Source organism: Homo sapiens, chromosome 9, assembly GCF_000001405.40.
Source record: "Homo sapiens chromosome 9, GRCh38.p14 Primary Assembly".
NCBI classification, from domain to species: domain Eukaryota; kingdom Metazoa; phylum Chordata; class Mammalia; order Primates; family Hominidae; genus Homo; species Homo sapiens.
Genome location: NC_000009.12, coordinates 64,785,488 through 64,806,984, shown reverse-complemented (window position 1 = coordinate 64,806,984; position 21,497 = coordinate 64,785,488). Strand labels below are relative to the sequence as shown.

The 21,497-nt window shown below is 38.1% G+C and overlaps 1 pseudogene across 1 annotated transcript in view; it reads left to right on the top strand.

Annotated features, from left to right (window-relative positions):
* Positions 1-20,584, top strand: part of LOC100132154 (ankyrin repeat domain 30B pseudogene) — a 102,646-nt pseudogene extending 82,062 nt beyond the window's left edge. The window contains exon 7 of the transcript XR_007061544.1: positions 16,964-20,584. The product of XR_007061544.1 is annotated as an ankyrin repeat domain 30B pseudogene, transcript variant X1 (transcript). The remainder of the gene's footprint in view (positions 1-16,963) is intronic.
* The last annotated feature ends 913 nt before the right edge of the window (positions 20,585-21,497 follow it).

Here is a 21,497-nt window from a genome sequence, read left to right as displayed (position 1 = left end):
GCAGCAGTGTTCTAGAATCCTTTGAGAGGGAAAAACATTCAGACTCTTGAAGCAGTGTTCTGGAATCCTATGTGATGGACAAACACTCAGAACCCAGGAGCAATATTCCGGAGTCCTTTGTGATGGACAAGCATTCCGACCCTCGTAGCAGTGTTCTGCAATCCTATGTGAGGGACAAACACTCAGAAGCCAGCAGCTGTGTTCTGGAATCCCATGTGAGGGATAAACTCTCAGAACCCAGCAGCAGTGTTCTGTAATCCTATATGAGTGAGAAACACTCAGAACCCTGCAGCAGTTTTGTAGATTCCACTGTGAGATACAAACATTCAGACCCTCGTAGAAGTGTTCTGGAATCCTATGTGAGGGAAAAACTCTCAGAAACCTGCAGCAGTGCACTGGAGTCCCTTGTGAGGGACAAACAAACACAACTGAGCAGCAGTGTTCTGGAATCCTTTGAGAGGCAAAAATATTCAGACCCTCATAGCAGTGTTCTGGAATCCTACGTGAGGGACAAACACTCAGAACCCAGCAGCAGTATTCTGGAATCCTATGTGGGGGGCAAACACAACCCAGCCACAGTGTTCTGGAATCCTCTGTGAGCGACAAACGTTCAGAAATTTGTAGCAGTGTTCTGAAATTCTATATGAGGGACAAACACTCAGAACCCAGCCACTGTGTTCTGGAATCCTATGTGAGGGACAATCATACAGACCCTCGTAGATGTGTTCTGTAATCTTATCTGAGGGACAAACATTCAGACCTTAGTATCAGTGTTCTGGAATCCTATGTGAGGGACAAACGCTCATAACCCAGCAGCACTGTTCTGGAATCCTATGTGAGGGACAAACACTCAGAACCCAGCAGCAGTACTCTGGAATAATTTGTGAGGGACAAACATTCAGACAATCGTAGCAGTGTTCTGGAATCCTATGTGAGGGACAAACACTCAGAATGCAGCAGCAGTGTTCTGGAATCCTATGTGAGGGACAAACACTTAGAACCCAGCAGCACTGTTCTGGAATCCTATGTGAGGGACAAACACTCGGAAAGCCACAGCAGTGTTCTGGAATCCTATGTGAGGGTCAAACACTCAGAAACCTGCAGCAGTGCTCTGGATCCCTTTGTGAGGGACAAACAAACAGAACCCAGCAACAGAGTTCTGGAATCCTATGTGAGGGACAAACACTCAGAACCCAGCAGCAACATTCTGGAAACCTTTGTGAGGGACAAACATTCAGATCCTCATAGCAGTGTTCTGGAATCCTATGTGAGAGACAAACACTAAGAAAGCTGCAGCAGTGTTCTAGAATCCTATGTGAGGGACAAACACTCAGAGCCCAGCAGCAGTGTTCTGGAATCCTATGTGAGGGACAAACACTCAGAACCCAGCAGCAGTGTTCTGGAATCCTTTGTGAGGGACAAACATTCAGAACCTCGTAGCAGTGTTCTGGAATCATATGTGAGGGATAACACTCTGAACCCAGCAGGACTGTTTTCGAATCCCATGTGAGGGACAATCACTTAGGACCCTGCAGCAGTGTTCTGGAATCCTATGTTAGTGACAAACTCTCAGAACCAGAAGCAGAGGGAAAAGAAACTACCAAGGGTAGCCAAGATGACCAAATAGGAACAGCTCCGGTCTACAGCTCCAAGCATCAGCAACGCAGAAGATGGGTGATTTCTGCATTTCCATCTCAGGTACCAGGTTCATCTCACTAGGGAGTGCCAGACAGAGGATGCAGGACAGTGGGTGCAGTGCACAGTGCGTGAGCTGAACCAGGGTGAGGCATTGCCTCACTCGGGAAGCACAAGAGGTCAGGGAGTTCCCTTTCCTAGTCAAAGAAAGGGGTGAGAGACGGCACCTGGAAAATCGGGTCACTCCCACCCTAATACTGCACTTTTCCAAGGGTCCTAACAAATGGTGCACCAGGAGATTATATCCCGCACATGGCTCAGAGGGTGCTACGCCCATGGAGTCTCACTGATTGCTAGCACAGCAGTCTGAGATCAAACTGCAAGGTGGCAGAGAGGCTTGGAGAGGGTCGCTTGCCATTGCCCAGGCTTGCATAAGTAAACAAAGCAGCCAGGAACTCGAACTGGGTGGAGCCCACCACAGCTCAAGGAGGCCTGCCTGCCTCTTTAGGCTCCACCTCTGGGGGCAGGGCACAGACAAACAAAAAGACAGCAGTAACCTCTGCAGACTTAAATGTCCCTGTCTGACAGTTTTGAAGAGAGCAGTGGTTCTTCCAGCACGCAGCTGGAGACCTGAGAATGGGCAGACTGCCTCCTCAAGTGGGTCCCTGACCCCTGACCCCCAAGCAGCCTAACTGGGAGGCAATCCCCAGTACGGGCAGAATGACACCTCACACGGCTGGGTACTCCTCTGAGACAAAACTTCCAGAGGAATGATCAGACAGCAACATTTGCGGTTCATGAAAATCTGCTGTTCTGCAGCCACTGCTGCTGATACCCAGGCAAACAGGGTCTGCAGTGGACGTCTAGCAAACTCCAACAGACCTGCAGCTGAGGTTCCTGTCTGTTAGAAGGAAAACTTACAAAGAGAAAGGACATCCACACCAAAAACCCATCTGTACATCACCATCATCAAAGACCAAAACTAGATACAACCACAAAGATGGGGAAAAAACAGAGCAGAAAACCTGGAAATTCTAAAAAGTAGAGCACCTCTCCTCCTAAAAAGGAACACAGTTCCTCACCAGCAATGGAAAAAAGCTGGGCAGAGAATGACTTTGATGAGTTGAGAGAAAAAGGCTTCAGACGATCAAACTGCTCCAAGCTACAGGAGGAAATTCAAACCAAAGGCAAAGAAGTTAAAAACTTTGAAAAAAATTTAGAAGAATGTATATCTAGAATAACCAATAAAGAGAAGTACTGAAAGGAGCTGATGGAGCTGAAAGCCAAGGCTCGAGAACTACATGAAGAATGTGGAAGCCTCAGGAGCCAATGCGATCAACTGGAAGAAAGGGTATAAGTGATGGAAGAAGAAATGAATGAAATGAAGTGAGAAGGGAAGTTTAGAGAAAAAATAATAAAATGAAATGAACAAACCTCCAAGAAATATGGGACTATGTGAAAAGACCAACTCTCCATCTGATGGGTGTACCTGAAAGTGATGGGGAGAATGGAACCAAGTTGGAAAACACTCTGCAGGATATTATCCAGGAGAACTTCCCCAATCTAGCAAGGCAGGCCAACATTCAGATTCAGGAAATACAGACAACACCACAAAGATACTCCTCGAGAAGAGCAACTCCAAGACACATAATTGTCAGATTCACCAAAGTTGAAAGGAAGGAAAAAATGTTAAGGGCAGCCAGAGAGAAAGGTCGGATTACCCACAAAGGGAAGACCATCAGACTAACAGCAGATCTCTTGGCAGAAACTCTAGAAGCCAGAAGAGAGTGGGGGCCAATATTCAACATTCTTAAAGAAAAGAATTTTCAGCCCAGAATTTCATATCCAGCCAAACTAAGCTTCATAAGTGAAGGAGAAATAAAATCCTTTACAGACAAGCAAATGCTGAGAGATTTTGTCACCACCAGGCCTGCCCTAAAAGAGCTCCTGAAGGAAGTACTAAACATGGAAAGGAACAACCGGTATCAGCCTCTGCAAAATCATGCCAAAATGTAAAGATCATCGAGACTAGGAAGAAACTGCATCAACTAACGAGCAAAATAACCAGCTAGCATCATAATGACAGGATCAAATTCACACATAACAATATTAACTTTAAGCGTAAATGGACTGAATGCTCCAATTAAAAGACACAGACTGGCAAATTGGATAAAGAGTCATGACTTATCAATGTGCTGTATTCAGGAACCCATCTCATGTGCAGAGACACACATAGGCTCAAAATAGAAGGATGGAAGAAGATCTACTAAGCAAATGGAAAACAAAAAAAGACAGGGGTTGCAATCCTAGTCTCTGATAAAACACACTTTAAACCAACAAAGATCTAAAGAGACAAAGAAGGCCACTACATAATGGTAAAGGGACCAATTCAACAAGAAGAGCTAACTATCTTAAATATATATGCACCCAATATAGGAGCACCCAGATTCATAAAGCAAGTCCTGAGTGACCTACAAAGAGACTTAGACTCCCACACAATAATAATGAGAGATTTTAACAACCCACTGTCAACATTAGACAGATAAATGAAACAGAAAGTTAACAAGGGTACACAGGAATTGAACTCAGCTCTGCACTAAGCGGATCTAATAGACATCTACAGAACTCTCCACCCCAAATCCAACAGAATATACATTCTTCTCAGCACCACAACACACCTATTCCAAAATTGACCACATACTTGGAAGTAAATCTCTACTCAGCAAATGTAAAAGAAAAGAAATCATAACAAACTGTCTCTCAGACCACAGTGCAATCAAACTAGAATCCAGGATTAACAAACTCACTCAAGACCGCTCAACTACATGGAAAACGAACAACCTGCTCCGGAATGACTACTGGGTACATAACGAAATGAAGGCAGAAATAAAGATGTTCTTTGAAACCAACGAGAACAAAGACACAACATACCAGAATCTCTGGGACACATTCAAAGCAGTGTTTAGAGGGAAATTTATAGCACTAAATGCCAACAAGAGAAAGCAGGAAAGATCCAAAATTGACACCCTAACATGACAATTAAAGGAACTAGAAAAGCAAGAGCAAACACATTCAAAAGCTAGCAGAAGGCAAGAAATAACTAAAATCGAGCAGAATTGAAGGAAATACAGGAGCTGGTTTTTTGAAAAGATCAACAAAATTGATAGATCACTAGCAAGACTAATAAAGAAGATAAGAGAGAAGAATCAAATAGACGCAATAAAAAATGATAAAGGGGTTATCAGCACTGATCCCACAGAAATACAATCTACCATCAGAGAATACTACAAACACCTCTACGCAAATAAACTAGAAAATCTAGAAGAAATGGATAAATTCCTCAACACATACACTGTCCCAAGGCTAAACCAGGAAGAAGTTGAATCTCTGAATAGACCAATAACAGGATCTGAAATTGTGGCAATAATCAATAGCTTACCAACAAAAAGAGTCCAGGACCAGATGGATTCACAGCCGAATTCTACCAGAGGTACAAGGAGGAACTGGTACCATTCCTTCTGAAACTATTCCAATCAATAGAAAAAGAGGGAGTCCTCCCTAACTCATTTTATGAGGCCAGCATCATCCTGATACCAAAGCCGGGCAGAGACACAACCAAAAAAGAGAATTTTAGACCAATATCCTTGATGAACATTGATGCAAAAATCCTCAATAAAATACTGGCAAACCGAATCCAACAGCACATCAAAAAGCTTATCCACCATGATCAAGTGGGTTTCATCCCTGGGATGCAAGGCTGGTTCAATATACGCAAATCAATAAATGTAATCCAGCATATAAACAGAGCCAAAGACAAAAACCACATGATTATCTCAATAGATGCAGAAAAGGCCTTTGACAAAATTCAACAACCCTTCATGCTAAAAACTCTCAATAAATTAGGTATTGATGGGATGTATTTCAAAATAATAAGAGCTATCTATGACAAACCCACAGCCAATATCATACTGAATGGGCAAAAACTGGAAGCATTCCCTTTGAAAACTGGCACAAGACAGGGTTGCCCTCTCTCACCACTCCTATTCCACATAGTGTTGGAAGTTCTGGCCAGGGCAATCAGGCAGGAGAAGGAAACAAAGGGTATTCAATTAGGAAAAGAGGAAGTCAAATTGTCCCTGTTTGCAGATGACTTGATTGTATATCTAGAAAACCCCATTGTCTCAGCCCAAAATCTCCTTAAGCTGATGAGCAACTTCAGCAGTCTCAGGATAAAAAATCAATTTACAAACATCACAAGCATTCTTATACACCAACAACAAATAGAGTGCCAAATCATGAGCGAACTCCCATTCACAATTGCTTCAAAGAGAGAAAAATACCTAGGAATCCAACTTACAAGGGACGTGAAATACCTCTTCATTGAGAACAACAAACCACTGCTCAATGAAATAAAAGAGGATACAAACAAATGGAAGAACATTCCATGCTCATGGGTTGGAAGAATCAATATCATGAAAATGGCCATACTGCCCAAGGTAATTTATAGATTCAGTGCCATCCCCATCAAGCTACCAATGACTTTCTTCACAGAATTGAAAAAAACAACTTTAAAGTTCATATGGAACCAAAAAACAGCCTGCATCGCCAAGTCAATCCTAAGCCAAAAGAACAAAGCTGGAGGCATCACGCTACCTGACTTCAAACTATACTACAAGGCTACAGTAATCAAAACAACATGGTACTGGTACCAAAATGGAGACATAGATCAATGGAACCGAACAGAGCCCTCAGAAATAATGCCACATAACTACAACTATCTGATCTTTGACAAACCTGAGAAAAACAAGCAATGAGGAAAGATTCCCTATTTAATAAATGGTGCTGGGAAAACTGGCTAGCCATATGTAGAAAGCTGAAACTGGATCCCTTCCTTACACCTTATACAAAAATTAATTCAAGATGGATGAAATACTTACATGTTAGACCTAAAACCATAAAAACCCTAGAAGAAAACCTAGGCAATACTACTCAGGACATAGGCATGGGAAAGTACTTCATGTCTAAAACACCAAAAGCAATGGCAACAAAAGCCAAAATTGACAAATGGGATCTAATTAAACTAAAGAGCTTCTGCACAGCAAAAGAAACTACCACCAGAGTGAACAGGCAACCTACAAAATGGGAGAAAATTTTTGCAACCTACTCATCTGACAAAGGGCTAATATCCAGAATCTACAATGAACTCAAACAAATTTACAAGAAAAAAACAAACAATCCCATGAAAAAGTGGGTGAAAGACAGGAACAGACACTTCTCAAAAGAAGACATTTATGCAGCCAAAAAACACATGAAAAAATACTCATCATCACTGGCCATCAGAGAAATGCAAATCAAAACCACAATGAGATACCATCTCACACCAGTTAGAAAGTCGATTATTAAAAAGTCAGGAAACAACAGGTGCTGGAGAGGATGTGGAGAAACAGGAACACTTTTACACTGTTGGTGGGACTGTAAACTAGTTCAACCATTGTGGAAGTCAGTGTGGCGATTCCTCAGGGATCTAGAACTAGAAATACCATTTGACCCAGCCATCCCATTACTGGGTATATACCCAAAAGACTATAAATCATGCTGCTATAAAGACACATGCACAAGTATGTTTATTGCGGCAGTATTCACAATAGCAAAGACTTGGAACCAACCCAAATGTCCAACAACGATAGACTGGATTAAGAAAATGTGGCACATATAAACCATGGAATACTATGCAGCCATAAAAAATGATGAGTTCATGTCCTTTGTAGGGACATGGATGAAACTGGAAATCATCATTCTCAGTAAACTATCACAAGGACAAAAAAGCAAACACCGCATATTCTCACTCATAGTTGGGAATTGAACAATGAGAACACATGGACACAGGAAGGGGAACATCACACTTCGGGGACTGTTGTGTGGTGGGGGGAGGGGGAGGGATAACATTAGGAGATATTCCTAATGCTAAATGACGAGTTAATGGGTGCAGCACACCAACATGGCACATGAATACTTACGTTACAAACCTGCACATTATGCACATGTATCCTAAAACTTTAAGTATAATAATAAAATAAAATAAAATAAAAAAGCAAAATATACACTAATACAGATTAACCAACTAAAAAAAAGTAGAGAAAGGTCATTTAAAAAATATAAAGCATACAGTAATAATCTAACACGTTGAAATCTAAGAAGGAGAAAACAGCTGGTCTGAACAGCATTTTAAGTGGCAATGTTAGAGGTTTTATCAAAATTGACCAATAATATTAAACCACAGGTTCAGGAGGCTTTGCAAACCAAAAGAAAACACACACAGAGGACACACCTAGAAACATAATGGGACAATTTCTGAAAAGTAAAAGAAAAATGTCAAGAGCACTTGATAAAAAAATTGGGCTAACTATAAACAGAAAGAGTTGACTGATAACAACCGTGTCAAATGAAACAATGAAAGCCAACAAGTGAGGTATTGATACCTTTCAAGTCCTGAAATAAAATAAGTGCTGACCTAGAACTGTCTACTTGGTGGACATGTCCATCAAAAACAAAGATACAATAAAGAATTTCTCCCAAGCAGACCCACAGGAAAGGAAATAGTAAAGATTATTCTTCAGGTAGAAGAGCCATGATCCCTGATGAAAGTTTGCAGTTAGAAGAACGCTTTTTTTTTAATGAAAGAAGTAAACACAGAGAGAAATTTAATTGGATATCGACGGTATAACAGAATGCTATCTCATAAAGTTTAAAATGTATCTTCCATACAACAGCAGAAGCATATAAGTTGTGAGTTGGATAAATTAATTTAAAAATATTGTCAAGTTTTTTTGCAAATAGATAAACGTACCAATTATATTAGACCCTGAATTCGAGAATGCACGTTATAATAAACCAGTTAAAACATACTCAGACCAGATTTTTCAATGGACTCTCTTAAAGTTTTTATAATTTATATTTATATTTCACATATGTTGAAACTAAATAATGGAAAAGCATGCAATGCAAATATTAACCAAAATATAGCTTTAGTTGTACTTATATTCACATTTTAAAAGTTGGACACAGTTAAGTCTCAGTGATTTTTTTACACAACGGAAGCAAGCTGTGCAGTTATAACTAACTAGTATTATATTATGCTCTTGGCCTGATTACAGAAGGGAAAGGGGCGATCATACCAGACAATGGCAGAATGAAGCAACAAGGAGTAGAGTTACAGAACATGATACTGTAACTGGGACTGGAGGTACTCTTTTAGAGTTAAAGAATAGTAAACTGGACAAAATATATGAAACTTTTTTTGAAGTACTGAACATCAGGCAGCACAGTACTGTGCTCCGCAAGAGAAGAGAAGGAGCCAGAATGAGTCCTGCTTTATTCCCAGGTTCTCCGTGACAGCAGTAGAGAGGAATCCCAGAGAGAGCAGACATTGTCATTGCACTGAGGAACCAGATAAAAATCAAAAAAGGTTAAGCAGCTGGAATGTGTAGTAGAAGAGAACGTTTACAGAAAAAGGAACCAATAATCAGCCTAAGGTTTCTCCCAAGTCCCTAAGTCAAAGGTACATAGGATGAAATTCTAAGGAGCTCAGCAAAAGACTCTACCACGGAGTTGGAAGAACACTTCCCTGGCATCACATGAAAGGAAGACATGTTAGCTCTGACCAGCCAGAGATGGGAATCCCCTCTGTACCTCCAGGATATTCAGTAAAGACCACTGGAGGTTCATGCCCCAGTGACAGTGCTCATTTAGCTCCAAATTACAGATGGCTCTAGACTAACTCCACAAAGTTTAAAGAGAAGATTTAAAACAACAACAGAAAAATACTCATCCTGAAGTTACTGAACTGCCTGCCACAACATTGTTCAAAGGTAGCCAATAAAATCTAGATATTCAATAGCATAACATCAAAATACCCCCCCCCCAAAAAAACTCTGACATGCAAAGAAGCCGGAAGATATATATTATTAAGATATATATTAACAGGATAAAAATAAGTCGTTTATAAATGACAGAGAAGAAGGAATTTTCAAGGCCCTTAAAGTAAATATATTTTATAAATACATATAGATAAATACATATATATGTCAAAGTACTTAAATGAAAATTGATCATAGGAGAAAAATAGAAGTTATAAAATGAAAAATGTGACATGTATAGATGAAAAATAAACATTTGAAATAAAAATTCCATGAGATAGAATAAGTTATGGATTTTACCCTAACATCAGAAAATTTATAGAAAAAAATAGAAGCTTTCCAAACTAAAGGACAAAGGGTAAACTAAAATAAGAAAGCCAGAAACTCACTGATACGTGAGACAATATGCAGCAGTGTAACATACATGTAATTAATATCTCAAAAAGGATGGGTGGGGGAATTATAGTTGAATAAAGAATGGTACACTCATTCCTGAGGGCACCGAGGAGGGAGGATAGCTTGAGATTCCTAAGGGAGGGTATTATCCATTCATGAAAGTCCATCCCCATGACACAACACCTCCCAGTAAGCCCCACTTCCAACATTGGGGATCAAATTTTAACGTGAGATTTGGAAGGGGCAATCATTCAAACCATAGCAAGAGTTAAATTTCCTTTTAAAGAAAATCACTGATATGATTCCATTTCGCCATAGATAAAAACTAGTATTTCAGCCTACCATTGAGTGTACTTATAGCTAACGGAAAGGGCACTCTGTTTCGGGAATACAGATTTGCCTAGAGGTATCCTATTGCAGTCAAAGAAAGAGCAATGAGGGATAGAAAAGGTTAGTGATGGAGACACCAACGCTGCATTTTACAACAAACAATGTAAAAACTTTACGGATTGCTTCTTCTAACTTACTACAGTATACATTCCTCTCAGGTGGGAAAATTGTTGAGTTTTTTCTTAAGATAGAAAAGCAATTCAGACAATCTGAAATCTCCACAAGAAGGATAAGAAGCACAGCAGAAGCTATTCTAGGCAGGAAGTCAATCCATTCAACTGTCTGTGCTCCATAGAAACAATTGTCTGCACTGGGAGTCGTACGAGGTACAGACAACAGCCAGACCTCTGATCCTCTCATTAGTGATTTCAGAAGAAATTACCAGTCAGCTGAGTAATTCACTGAGTAAACATTTGGCACTGACAGAGGTTAGACGGATAACTATTTGTATCACCATATTCATGAAGCTGGAATATTTTCCATTACTTGTATCATATATGAATGGAAGATGTTAAAAGGCCTCTCATCTTGTAAGATGGATATGAAAGAACACTTTCTGAGAAATGAAATTATTCACACACCAGCGAGGTGGATGGAAGAGAAAAAAAAGAATAATCAGCTTGAGTTCTTCTCCTTGATAAGACAACTTACTAAAAACATAAAGAGAAAAATACAAGTTTAAAATAATTAACCAGAAGAAGACGACTCTAGAGTTTTTAAATTGCTGATAAGATTTTAATTTGCTCCAAGTTGAAAATAACTATATTGCTTGTGTTTTAAGGTACATAATGAGCAATTATATCACACATGATAGATTCAGCAGTAAAATATTATCTGTTAACAGCTGGAACTCATAAAAGCATAGCACAATGTGAAGATGGAATTTGCTAAAATAAACCATCTGCTGGAAAAATACTATTCTGCAAATTTAAAAATAAAGTTTAAATGTTATTTGTCTTATTTAATAGGTCTGTGAAAAAATGCGATATTTGAAAAGTAGGTGCTACCTTAATTAGTTCTTTATACTAGACAGCTGGTTACAGTAATGCACAGTAAGGTGCTACATACAAATATTGCTAAATTTTCTGCATATACTATGTATTTAGCTTAAATTATTTGAAATTTTACAGTTAAAGTAACAAATGTATATTTAAATGTTTTGACACAAATTGCAAATATACCTTTAAAAAGCGTCTTACACTCTAAATATTATTTTTCACATATATATATGTCTTTTCTCTATAGGAAAGTTTAAATTTTTCCCTTGAAGCTTTAATTATTTGAGTCTATAAAACAAACCAAAAATGTACAAATTAACAGGAAAAAAAGGTTTACAGATATGTGCACAAGTATGCACTTGGAGTTTACATAATATATATGAATATATCTATACACATATTTGTATATTATAAATAGATATACAAATATATACTATATATATAAAAACTCCAGGAAAGGCAAGGTAGTCAACACGCCTATGCCATCTTGAGGTTACAGAAAAACACAGAGCTGTAGGTTGGTAAATCAGGCTTTGTGGAAGACAGGTGATGACAAGGAAGAAAGAGGAGCCTGGTAGCAGAGGTGGTCTTGTTCCATGGATGAAACCTCACAGGGAGCAGCCCTCCTCTTGGGAAGTATAGATAGGAAATGGTTTTTAGAAATGTAAACGTGCCAGGCTCAGTTAATCTTTCCTAAACCCACACAAGGGAGTATCTCAGGAAAAGACTGTCTATATCAACGCAGATATTCTCTACAAATGCAAATCTCCCCAACAAACACAGCTTTTCAGCTATTCTTGTAGAAGAAGCTATCTCCAGTCTTCCGAGTAGCCATCTTGAAATATGTCAAAAAGCTGCCCAGGCGCACGCCTGTAATCCCAGCACTTTGGGAGGCTGAAGTGGGTAGATCACCTGAAGTCAGGAGTTGGAGACCAGCCTGACCAACGTGGTGAAACCCCGTCTCTACTAAATACAAAAAATTAGCCGAGTGTGGTGGTGCATGCCTGTAATCTCAGCTACTTGGGAGGCTGAGCTAGGAGAATAACTTGATCCTGGGAGGCTGAGGTTGCAGTGAGCCAAGATTGTGCCATTGCACTCTAGCCTGGGCAATAAAAGCAAAACTCCATCTCAAAAAACAATGTATTTTAGGGTAATATTTTCAGTATCTTTACCTCCATATGTACAATAAATATTATTGTGATTTTTAATCTTTTTTGTGGAGGAAACACAGGTGTGATTTCTAGTGTAACTGAACATCGTTTATTTGACAATATTGCACTTGTGTGTGGGTGTGTGCGTGTGTAGCTACTCTTTAATTTTGTTCTCACATAATGATTAGATATTAACAATTAATTCAGTAAAATGTATGTTTTGCAATATTTCTCCATGTTATCATGCTTTAAATTAGTTTAATCATGGCCCTATAATGTGTACATTTTAACCTTTGACTATAGGTCTCAATCTTACTTTGGTTCCTGTATTTGAATTTATGCTAATAAAGTCCTACAGCTAAAAAAGATTATATAAACTTATCTACATTTTTACTAGTATTCTGGTGTCATTTTAAATTATGTAATGAAATCAAATTTTAATTTGGATTATTGTTATCTGAGTTAAGGATGTAAATTTTTAATATTCTTATAAATATTACATAATTATTTCTGAACCATATATTGACTAATCTGCCCTTTATATGATGTGCATTATAAGAGCTTGGGATTGTTTCATTTGCAAAGATGAATGCTTGAGAAGTAGATATTTAATCATAACGTTTCAAAATCTATTGGATAACCTAGAATTGAAAAATAGCCTATAGGTTGAAAAACTCCTGTAGTGAAGGAAGAAAATAACTAATATACAGTGACAATATAAATATTATAAGTATTTATTTTATTATCGCCCTGAAATTTGATAATACAAACATGTAATATCTACATATCATCCATATATCATGTCATAAAAAAATCAATACATTCTTCAAAAATTTAGCATAACAGAAAATGAACTCTCTCTCCTTGATGGAATTAAGTTACAAATAAAAGTAAAAAATAAATAGATAAGTAGATGGAAGTAGATGTTTGAAAACAAAGAAAAATACTTGTTTTGGATAACATAAAATCTCAATTGACAATTCCAATATTTCCAGAACTTTCCCTGTCAACTGGTGGAGAGTTTTCCCCAGGAGACATTTGTCAATGTCTAGTGTTATTGTGGGGATGTCAAGACTGGTGGAGGTGTGAAATTTAGAGGTCAAACGAAACACCTAGCATTGCTAGGGCAGCCTCCCACAGCAAAGAATCCTCTGGTCCTAAAGGTAAGTAGCACCAAGGTTGAGAAACCATAATCTAGACAGTAAACACTACGTAGCTATTCCAAGTGCTCAGGAAAACACATCAGTGCCCTTGGGGGGAAAAGTGTGAACATTTTAATTGCCGTACATGGTGACACAAATCCATGTTGTTAATCTAAGTGGAAGGGGCTGAAGCACAAAATGTAATTCAAAGAGTTTACTTGAGCCAAAATGAGGACAGCTGCCTGGAAGAAACAGACCCAAGTATCCTTGGATATGAACTCCCTTTGGAGCTTTGCAACAAGCAGTTTCTTAAAGGCAAAAAAGCGTCCAGAAGTGGGATGATGCAAATAGGTTTGTCACAAATTCTCATTGGCTTATGGAAATAGCATTTATTAGTGACTGGCTATACACTGTTACACTATTATTGGGTGTGGATTATACTATCTGGTGTGGCGTTATTGGTTAATTAATAGCTACTGTGGCAACAGCAAGCAGCCTAGATGAACACACAGCTCAAAGAGGAGCAGGACAGAACTGCTGTCTCATTTGAATATCTCTCTGGGCCTGATTATTTAAAAGGACTTGCATTTCTCACATGAAAGTTATTTTCTTTTCTCAATGTCCATAAATGAGAATAAATAGACGTAAAAGAGATCTTTTCGAGGATGAAGTAAATGGAATGAAAAACAAAACCCAAGCTGAACAGAAATCATAGAGGGAAGAAAAGGTTATAAATATATGGATTTGTCAGAGTGATTTTAAGCTATTAGGAATCAGTTAAATGTTTTGGGATTTTGTCTGAGAATGGGCTAAAGGAGAATGTCCCTTTTGCCTTCTGAAGTTTCCCTGAAAATCACTAATAGGAGGCAGATAAATAGTAGAAAAGGCATAAAGGTTTCTGCAATGTGTGTACACTGGAGCCCTTAGAACGAAGACCCAGACACACGATGCGTGCAGAAGCTTATCTACCACATGAAGTTTACAGAAAGAATGGGGTCTTGGATCACAGGAAAAAAAAAAAGGTTATGTGAGAAAACGACCCTGGCTAGCAACAGTGGACTTATTACATAGGTGAAACCTCACTGGGAGCAGTCCTCAGAGAGAATAGACAGAAAATGTTTCTTTCAGACCTTTGGAGACCTCAGATGCTCAGTTAACCTTTCCTAGATCCAGACAAGGGGGCAGACCTCAGAGAAAGCCTGGCTGCATCAAGGCAGATTCTCTACCGATGCAAATCTCCCCAAGACAGCTTTGCAGCTAAGTTTGCATTCCCAGCCCTTCTCAATAGCCATTTTGAAATATATCAAGGAAATATATTTAGGGGTAAAATATATTAGTTTCCTTCATACAGCTATGAAACATACAGGAACAATTTTTGTCAATGTCTACTACAAATCCAATGTAGCAGTAATTATAAAACCCACCAGATATTGAAGAAAAAATATGTAGAGTACATCAATTACAAATGTTGATACTAAAATGCCAAATAAAATAAAAATAATATCCAACAATGTTTGAAACAGTAAGACAAGAAATTGGCAAAAAAAATAAAACAAATATCCACCTTGGGGATGAAAGTGTGTTTCCAAATTTGGTAATCCAATAATATTAATAATAATATTGATTAGCCCAAATTAAAAATAAATAGGGGATTCTCAGTACATGCTAAAATATATTTGTTAAAAGGCAATATTCATGTCTGTAAAGATTTTAAATGCTGTAAAGAGTCTGATATTCTATATGCAAACATGTGTATGTCCATTAGAAGAGAGGCCTGATTTTCATATGTTACTACATAGAGATAGAGAAGTGGATAGATTAATTTGCATATGCATAGAGAAAGCATAAAATAGAAATTTACTGTCATATTAAAGGAATTTTAATTCAACAATAAAATAATTCAAAGGTAAAATTTTAAATATTTTTAACAGGTACATTATTAATATTAGATAATATTTATGATAATTGTGAAAATATTCAATGCTAAAATAAGATACAATGTCTAAACATCAGTATTAAAACTAGTATAAATATTTGCTTGTTTATACAAGGAAAATTCAAGCTCGACCTAAAATTATATAGGAAATAAAAGAAAAATTTTAAGGGAGCTCTTTAATAACATAAACATATATATATACACACACACATATATAGCATGTATATATGTTATATGGGATAGATATAGATTTAACATGTTATATCTATATTTGTATCTATAACTACAGCTGTATGTATCTACATTTCTATATATTTACTCAGTGATATAAATATAGACTGGAATAAATATAAAGACACATATTATTCTTGGATAAAAAGGATTTAGTATCATAAAGACAAATTATTTCCAAATTCACTTATGAATTCACAACAATATACAGTTTCATTAGTATAATTTAAAATTTTTAAATAAATTCCAAGATTCATTTAAAGGAATATACATGTATACAAGCAGTCAAGAAAGAAGCAAGAGTGCACTAAAGTAACTTGCTATTGAAATACATTTTTAAACTTAGTAACTAAAACTGAGCAGTACTGATTTGGAGTACTGGAATTTAGGTATATGGGATCTCAAAAGCACAGAGCTCAAAGGAGACCCCTGTATGCACGAGAGCTTAGGATGTGCTTTGGAAGGCATTACCAAACCACGGGCAAAGTTACTTTAGTTTCTTAGTCTTACTAGGTTTGAAAAGCCAGAGAAAAGACTCAAGACCACCATATAAGAGCAAAACAAAAGGACAGGGAGAGAATGTGAAGATACTGAAACTTTTACATAAAGTTGTATAAAATATCCTTTAAAGAAAATGTAAAGTTTAGGATATACATCAAAATCAGCAGAGCCACTAAATAAATAAATAGGCATTGTAAAATAGCAAGAGAAAATTTAAATGGATTTCTAAAAAATATTGACACCTATGATTTTTAAAATATGTTTAAGATATCCCGTATTTCACAGGGCAGCCTTTCACAACACAGATATGTTAGGACATAAAGGTTCTTCTGTTTTTAATTTACTAGTGTTTATAGGGTTACAAATGTCTTCTACCCTTGTCTTTTGTCTGATGGTGCAAAAAATTTTCATAAGCATGTATTTCTGAATGCCTGATGGATTGACATATATAATATGCTGCTAGTATTAAAATATGTGACGGAAAACGCATCCAATCTTCTCACTGTTTACATAAATTCTAGGTTTCTCCTATTTACCTCAAGCACGTATGGAGCGAATTCTTACCTTTTAATATTGCCATGGCATTCACATTGAACATAAGTTGAACTCTCTCATATGGTAGCTGGGTTCAGATTCCCTTGACAATTTCCAATTCTAACCCTCACAGTTCCTCAGTGTGGCTGGCCTAGATATTGACCCTACACAGTTGCCTCCTCCTGGTGACTACCAGCTATGGAACCGTTGGATACAACCTACCTGACTCACCCCACAGACCTCACAGCACACATGGACAGACCCCACACGCCAGAGTGACCTGCTCGGTTGCAGCGGGAGTCAAGAAATGTGCCTGCTGGCACTCACCCCACAGACTAGTGCCCCGTGGAAAACTTATTTGGGTAATGTTCTGGGCCGAATAAAGGCTGGAGTCCCACAGACCCCTTTTCTCTCTCCTGCTCCCCACTCATCTTCCCCATTTTGTTCAGCCCTATGAGGTGTGCTACTGTATTAGTCCGTTTTCACACTGCTGGTAAAGACATGCCCAAGACTGTGTAATTTCCAGAAGACAGAGTTTTAATAGACGCACAGTTCCACATGGCTGGGTAGGCCTCACAATCATGGTGCAAGGTGAAAGGCAAGTCTCACATGGCAGCAGACAAGACAAGAGAGCTTGTGCAGGGAAACTCCCCTTTATAAAACCATCAGATCTTGTGAGACTTATTCACTATCAGAAGAACAGCATGGGAAAGACCTGCCCCCATGATTCAATTACCTCCCACCTGTTCCCTCCCACAACATGTGGGAATTCAAGATGAGATTTGGCTGGGGACACAGCTAAACCCTCTTCTCAGCTACCCTCTTCTCTCTGGATCTGTGAGTAATAAACCTACTTCTGTGATTTCCCATGTTTGGTTCTGTGGCCTCCATGGGTCTGAGCTGACCTACACTGGAACCTAACTCTCCTCCTGGCCAGGGTCTCTGAGAGTGGCTCTTGTCAGAAATACACAGGACACAGGTCAGGCAACAGTCACCAGGCATCTCCTAGTCTCAACAGATGTTCTGTGAGAGGGAGGCCTGGTCGTGGGATGCACATCTGGCCACTGCTGGTGTAAGGAAGTGTCCTGTGAAAGGCACATGTTAAGCATCCACAACCCCCTGACCAGAACCCCAGAAAGGCAGGGCTCCAATTGACAGTCACTCTCCAGAGACAAACCTCAAGCCCTAACTGGAGGAAAAGAAAACAATGTAAAAAGTTGAATTTATCTTACTATTTCAATGATCCAGTAAAGACATTCTATGCCTGTACACCACATATTTTCTTCGATTGTGGATTTATTTTAGATAGAATTTTATGTCTGGCTTTCACTTTAGCCTGGTCCCTACCTCAAGCATAAGGTAAAGATTTTCCATGGGTTCTTCTCTGGTACTACTATCTGCCAGTGTGGGGTCATGTCCTAGTCTATCTTGAGGGAATCCCCCTGTTCATTATTGTCAGAGTGAGACTGTTAAGTCTTGATTTCCCTGGACAACTTCACTGCATAACTTTTAATATGATTTTTTAATATTCCCTTTACTGGACAATAAATTATATAGTTATCTGAGTAAGAGATATGGTCAGGAAGAGGCATTGCCTCATTCAGCTTTTCTCTTTGGTGAACTCGCATATGTTCTCCTCACCCGCCAGTCACCTCTAAACCGTATTGTTCCAAGACAACAAAGAGAACTCGAGTGTGTATCTTTCACCACTGGATTTGTGTTTGCTCCATAAAGCTTCATGCTTAATAGGGTTTCTGTTAGCATTTTCTCTGTTTATTTTCCCATAAAATATCACAGGCCTTTTTCATATGGAATTATGGGTGATTTCCTTCAATTTGCATCATATCAAGTTGAGGTTCATGTTGATGAAAAGTAAAACATACATTGAAAATATCAGTAATGATGTTTTCCCCTCCTTTTTAGCACACGTGCTTGTGATACAAGCACATTTTAATACAACTGTAGTCTCATGCTTTGATCATTCCTATGATGAAAATAACATTTTTAGATAAAATATCTGAGTTTTATGAGGCCTTTAGTATGTGATGTGATAGAATATCAGAAGACCATACTTTTTTCTAGTTTTCTGTGCAATTCTATCATTGTTTCATCTTTACTCCTACCAGAGTAATTTTCCAAAATAGATATCTTGTCATTCTTCCTCTTGTTATCAGTAAATAAGTGAAATGAAAAGCTAGATTATATAATTTATCTAGAACAAGAAAGTAGAATTGAATCTATATTCATTAATGAGACTAACCAGTCAATTACACAGATAAGCATTTTACATGTTGAAGATCATATGGAACCATTGTCAGAAATATTATTATTTATGTCTATATGGACATCACCTGTACATATTTACATAGAAATCAATGAGAGCTGATTTTTATTTTTATTATATATATTTTTTGAGATAGGGTCTTGGTTTTTTGCCCAGGCTGGAGTGCAGTGGTGCAATCACTGCTCACTGCAGCCTCAACCTCCCAAGCTCAAGCAATCCTTCCACCTTGGCCTCCCAAATAGCTAGGACAACAGGTGCACACCACCATGCCCACTTTTTATTTTTTTAACTTTTGATAGAGACTGGGTCTTGCTATGTTGCCCAGGTTGCTTTTGAACTCCTGGGCTCAAGGAATCCTCTCATTTCAGCCTCTTCAACTGCTGGTATTACAAGCATGAACCACCATATGGGCCGGAAGCTGATTTTTAAAATACTGAGATCATATACATGACAACACCTGAAAAATAGACAACACCAAGCTTTATGTTAAAAGGTGTGAGGGTATCAATATTGTTGTGGCTATTGGGGAGGAAAACATTAGTAAAACCAGTGAGTTAAAGCTGTTGCTTTAAACTTTGGCTTTAATTTAACAAATGTTCTATGGAGTGACAGTATGTATGTAACCATGCTATGCCCATTCACAGATGCAGTAGAGGGAAGAATTTCTCAAAGACAACTGTTCTAAGACTCAAATTAAACTGTACTGGGTTTGAAAAGAGAAATTCCAGGAATTACCAAATATTTTAGATATCAGATAAAAGAGAATGCCAGATATGCGATGATAATCAGCAATGGTTGTTCACACAATACATCAAATCAGTATTTGAATTAGCTTTTGAATTACAAGGACAAATGGACCAAGTCTAGACTCCTTAGTAGATAAATCTTATTAGGCTGAGATGTGTTTTCCCCTGTTTTTCCACAAGGAGATTACAAATTTGCAAACCTCAGCTGCTCTCATTTTATGCTCTCACCAAGCTAAAGCTGAAGTTCATCAATCAGTGTGTCTAAGTGTTCACTGGTTATATACCATTTTGTAGTTTCAGCTATCTTTCCAACTTCCTAAATCGTCACCTTCATTTGATCTTGTTTTTTTCCACTATCACTTCTTTATTGACCATATAAAGAATATAAGTGAGTTCTTATTTTGTTATTGTTCATTTTAGTCTAATTTCATCAAAATATCACAATCTTTTAATTTCATTTTAATTTCAAAGATTAAATGAAACCTACATAGAAATGTGTGTAAGATTTGCATTTGCATTATTTTGGCATCAATTTGCTATCCTCCCTCATGCACACAGAAATCATTTCCACGTATGTGATTTCAAACATCCAAGTGCAGTATTAAAAGCAGTTGTAAATTATGGTTCTCATTTTCATGATACAATTATAATATAAACTTCCTCTTGCTGCTGTAACCAATTACCACAAACTTCATATCTTACAATAAAGTGACCGTTAATCCTACAGTTCTGTAGTTCAGAAGACTTGAATGAAATTCACAGGGCTAACATCAAGTTTTGGGCAGGGCTGCAGTCTTTCTGAGGGCTATGTGGCAGACTCTATTACTTGATTTTTTTCAGCATCCAGAGGCCACCTTTATTCCTTGGAACATGACCTCATTCTTATATCCTATTTTTCTTTTTTTTTTTTTTTTGAGATAGAGTCTCCTTCTGTCACCCAGGCTGGAGTGCGGTGGCATGATCTCAGCTCACTGCAACCTCTGCCTCCCAGGTTCAAGTGATTCTTCTGCCTCAGCTTCATGAGTAGCTTGGACTACAGGCACTTGCCACCATGCCCAGTTAATTTTTTGTATTTTTAGTAGGGATGGGGTTTCACCATGTTACCCAGGATGGTCTCGATCTCCTGACCTCGTGATCCACCCACCCCAGCCTCCCAAAGTGCTGGGATTAGGCGTGAGCCACCGCGCTGGGTCCTCATTCTTGTATCTTAAAAGTCAGTGATGTTGAGTAATTTCTCATGCCACCACCTCCAAGGTTGCATTTCTTCTGTCTTCTTCTTTCACTTATAAGGAAGTTTGTGATTTCATTGATCCCACCCATTTAAGACAATCTCTCTATCATTTTTCCGCAACCTTAATTTCACTTGAAATCTAATTTCACACTGCCGTGCAACCTAACATATTTGTATGTTAGACTCTGGGAATTAGGACATGAAAATTTTTGGGAGGCCATTCTTTTGCCTGCAGCAGACATAATCTATTTACCTGCAGATTAAAGCGTTCTTTATTTTTCTGTCTCCCTCTCTTAATTTTTTAAAAATAATATGAATTGTAGTAAAGAGAAAGAAAAGAAAACAAAGAAAGAAAAAGAAGGAAGGAAATAAAGAAGAAAGAAAAGAAGGAGGAGATGAGGGAAGG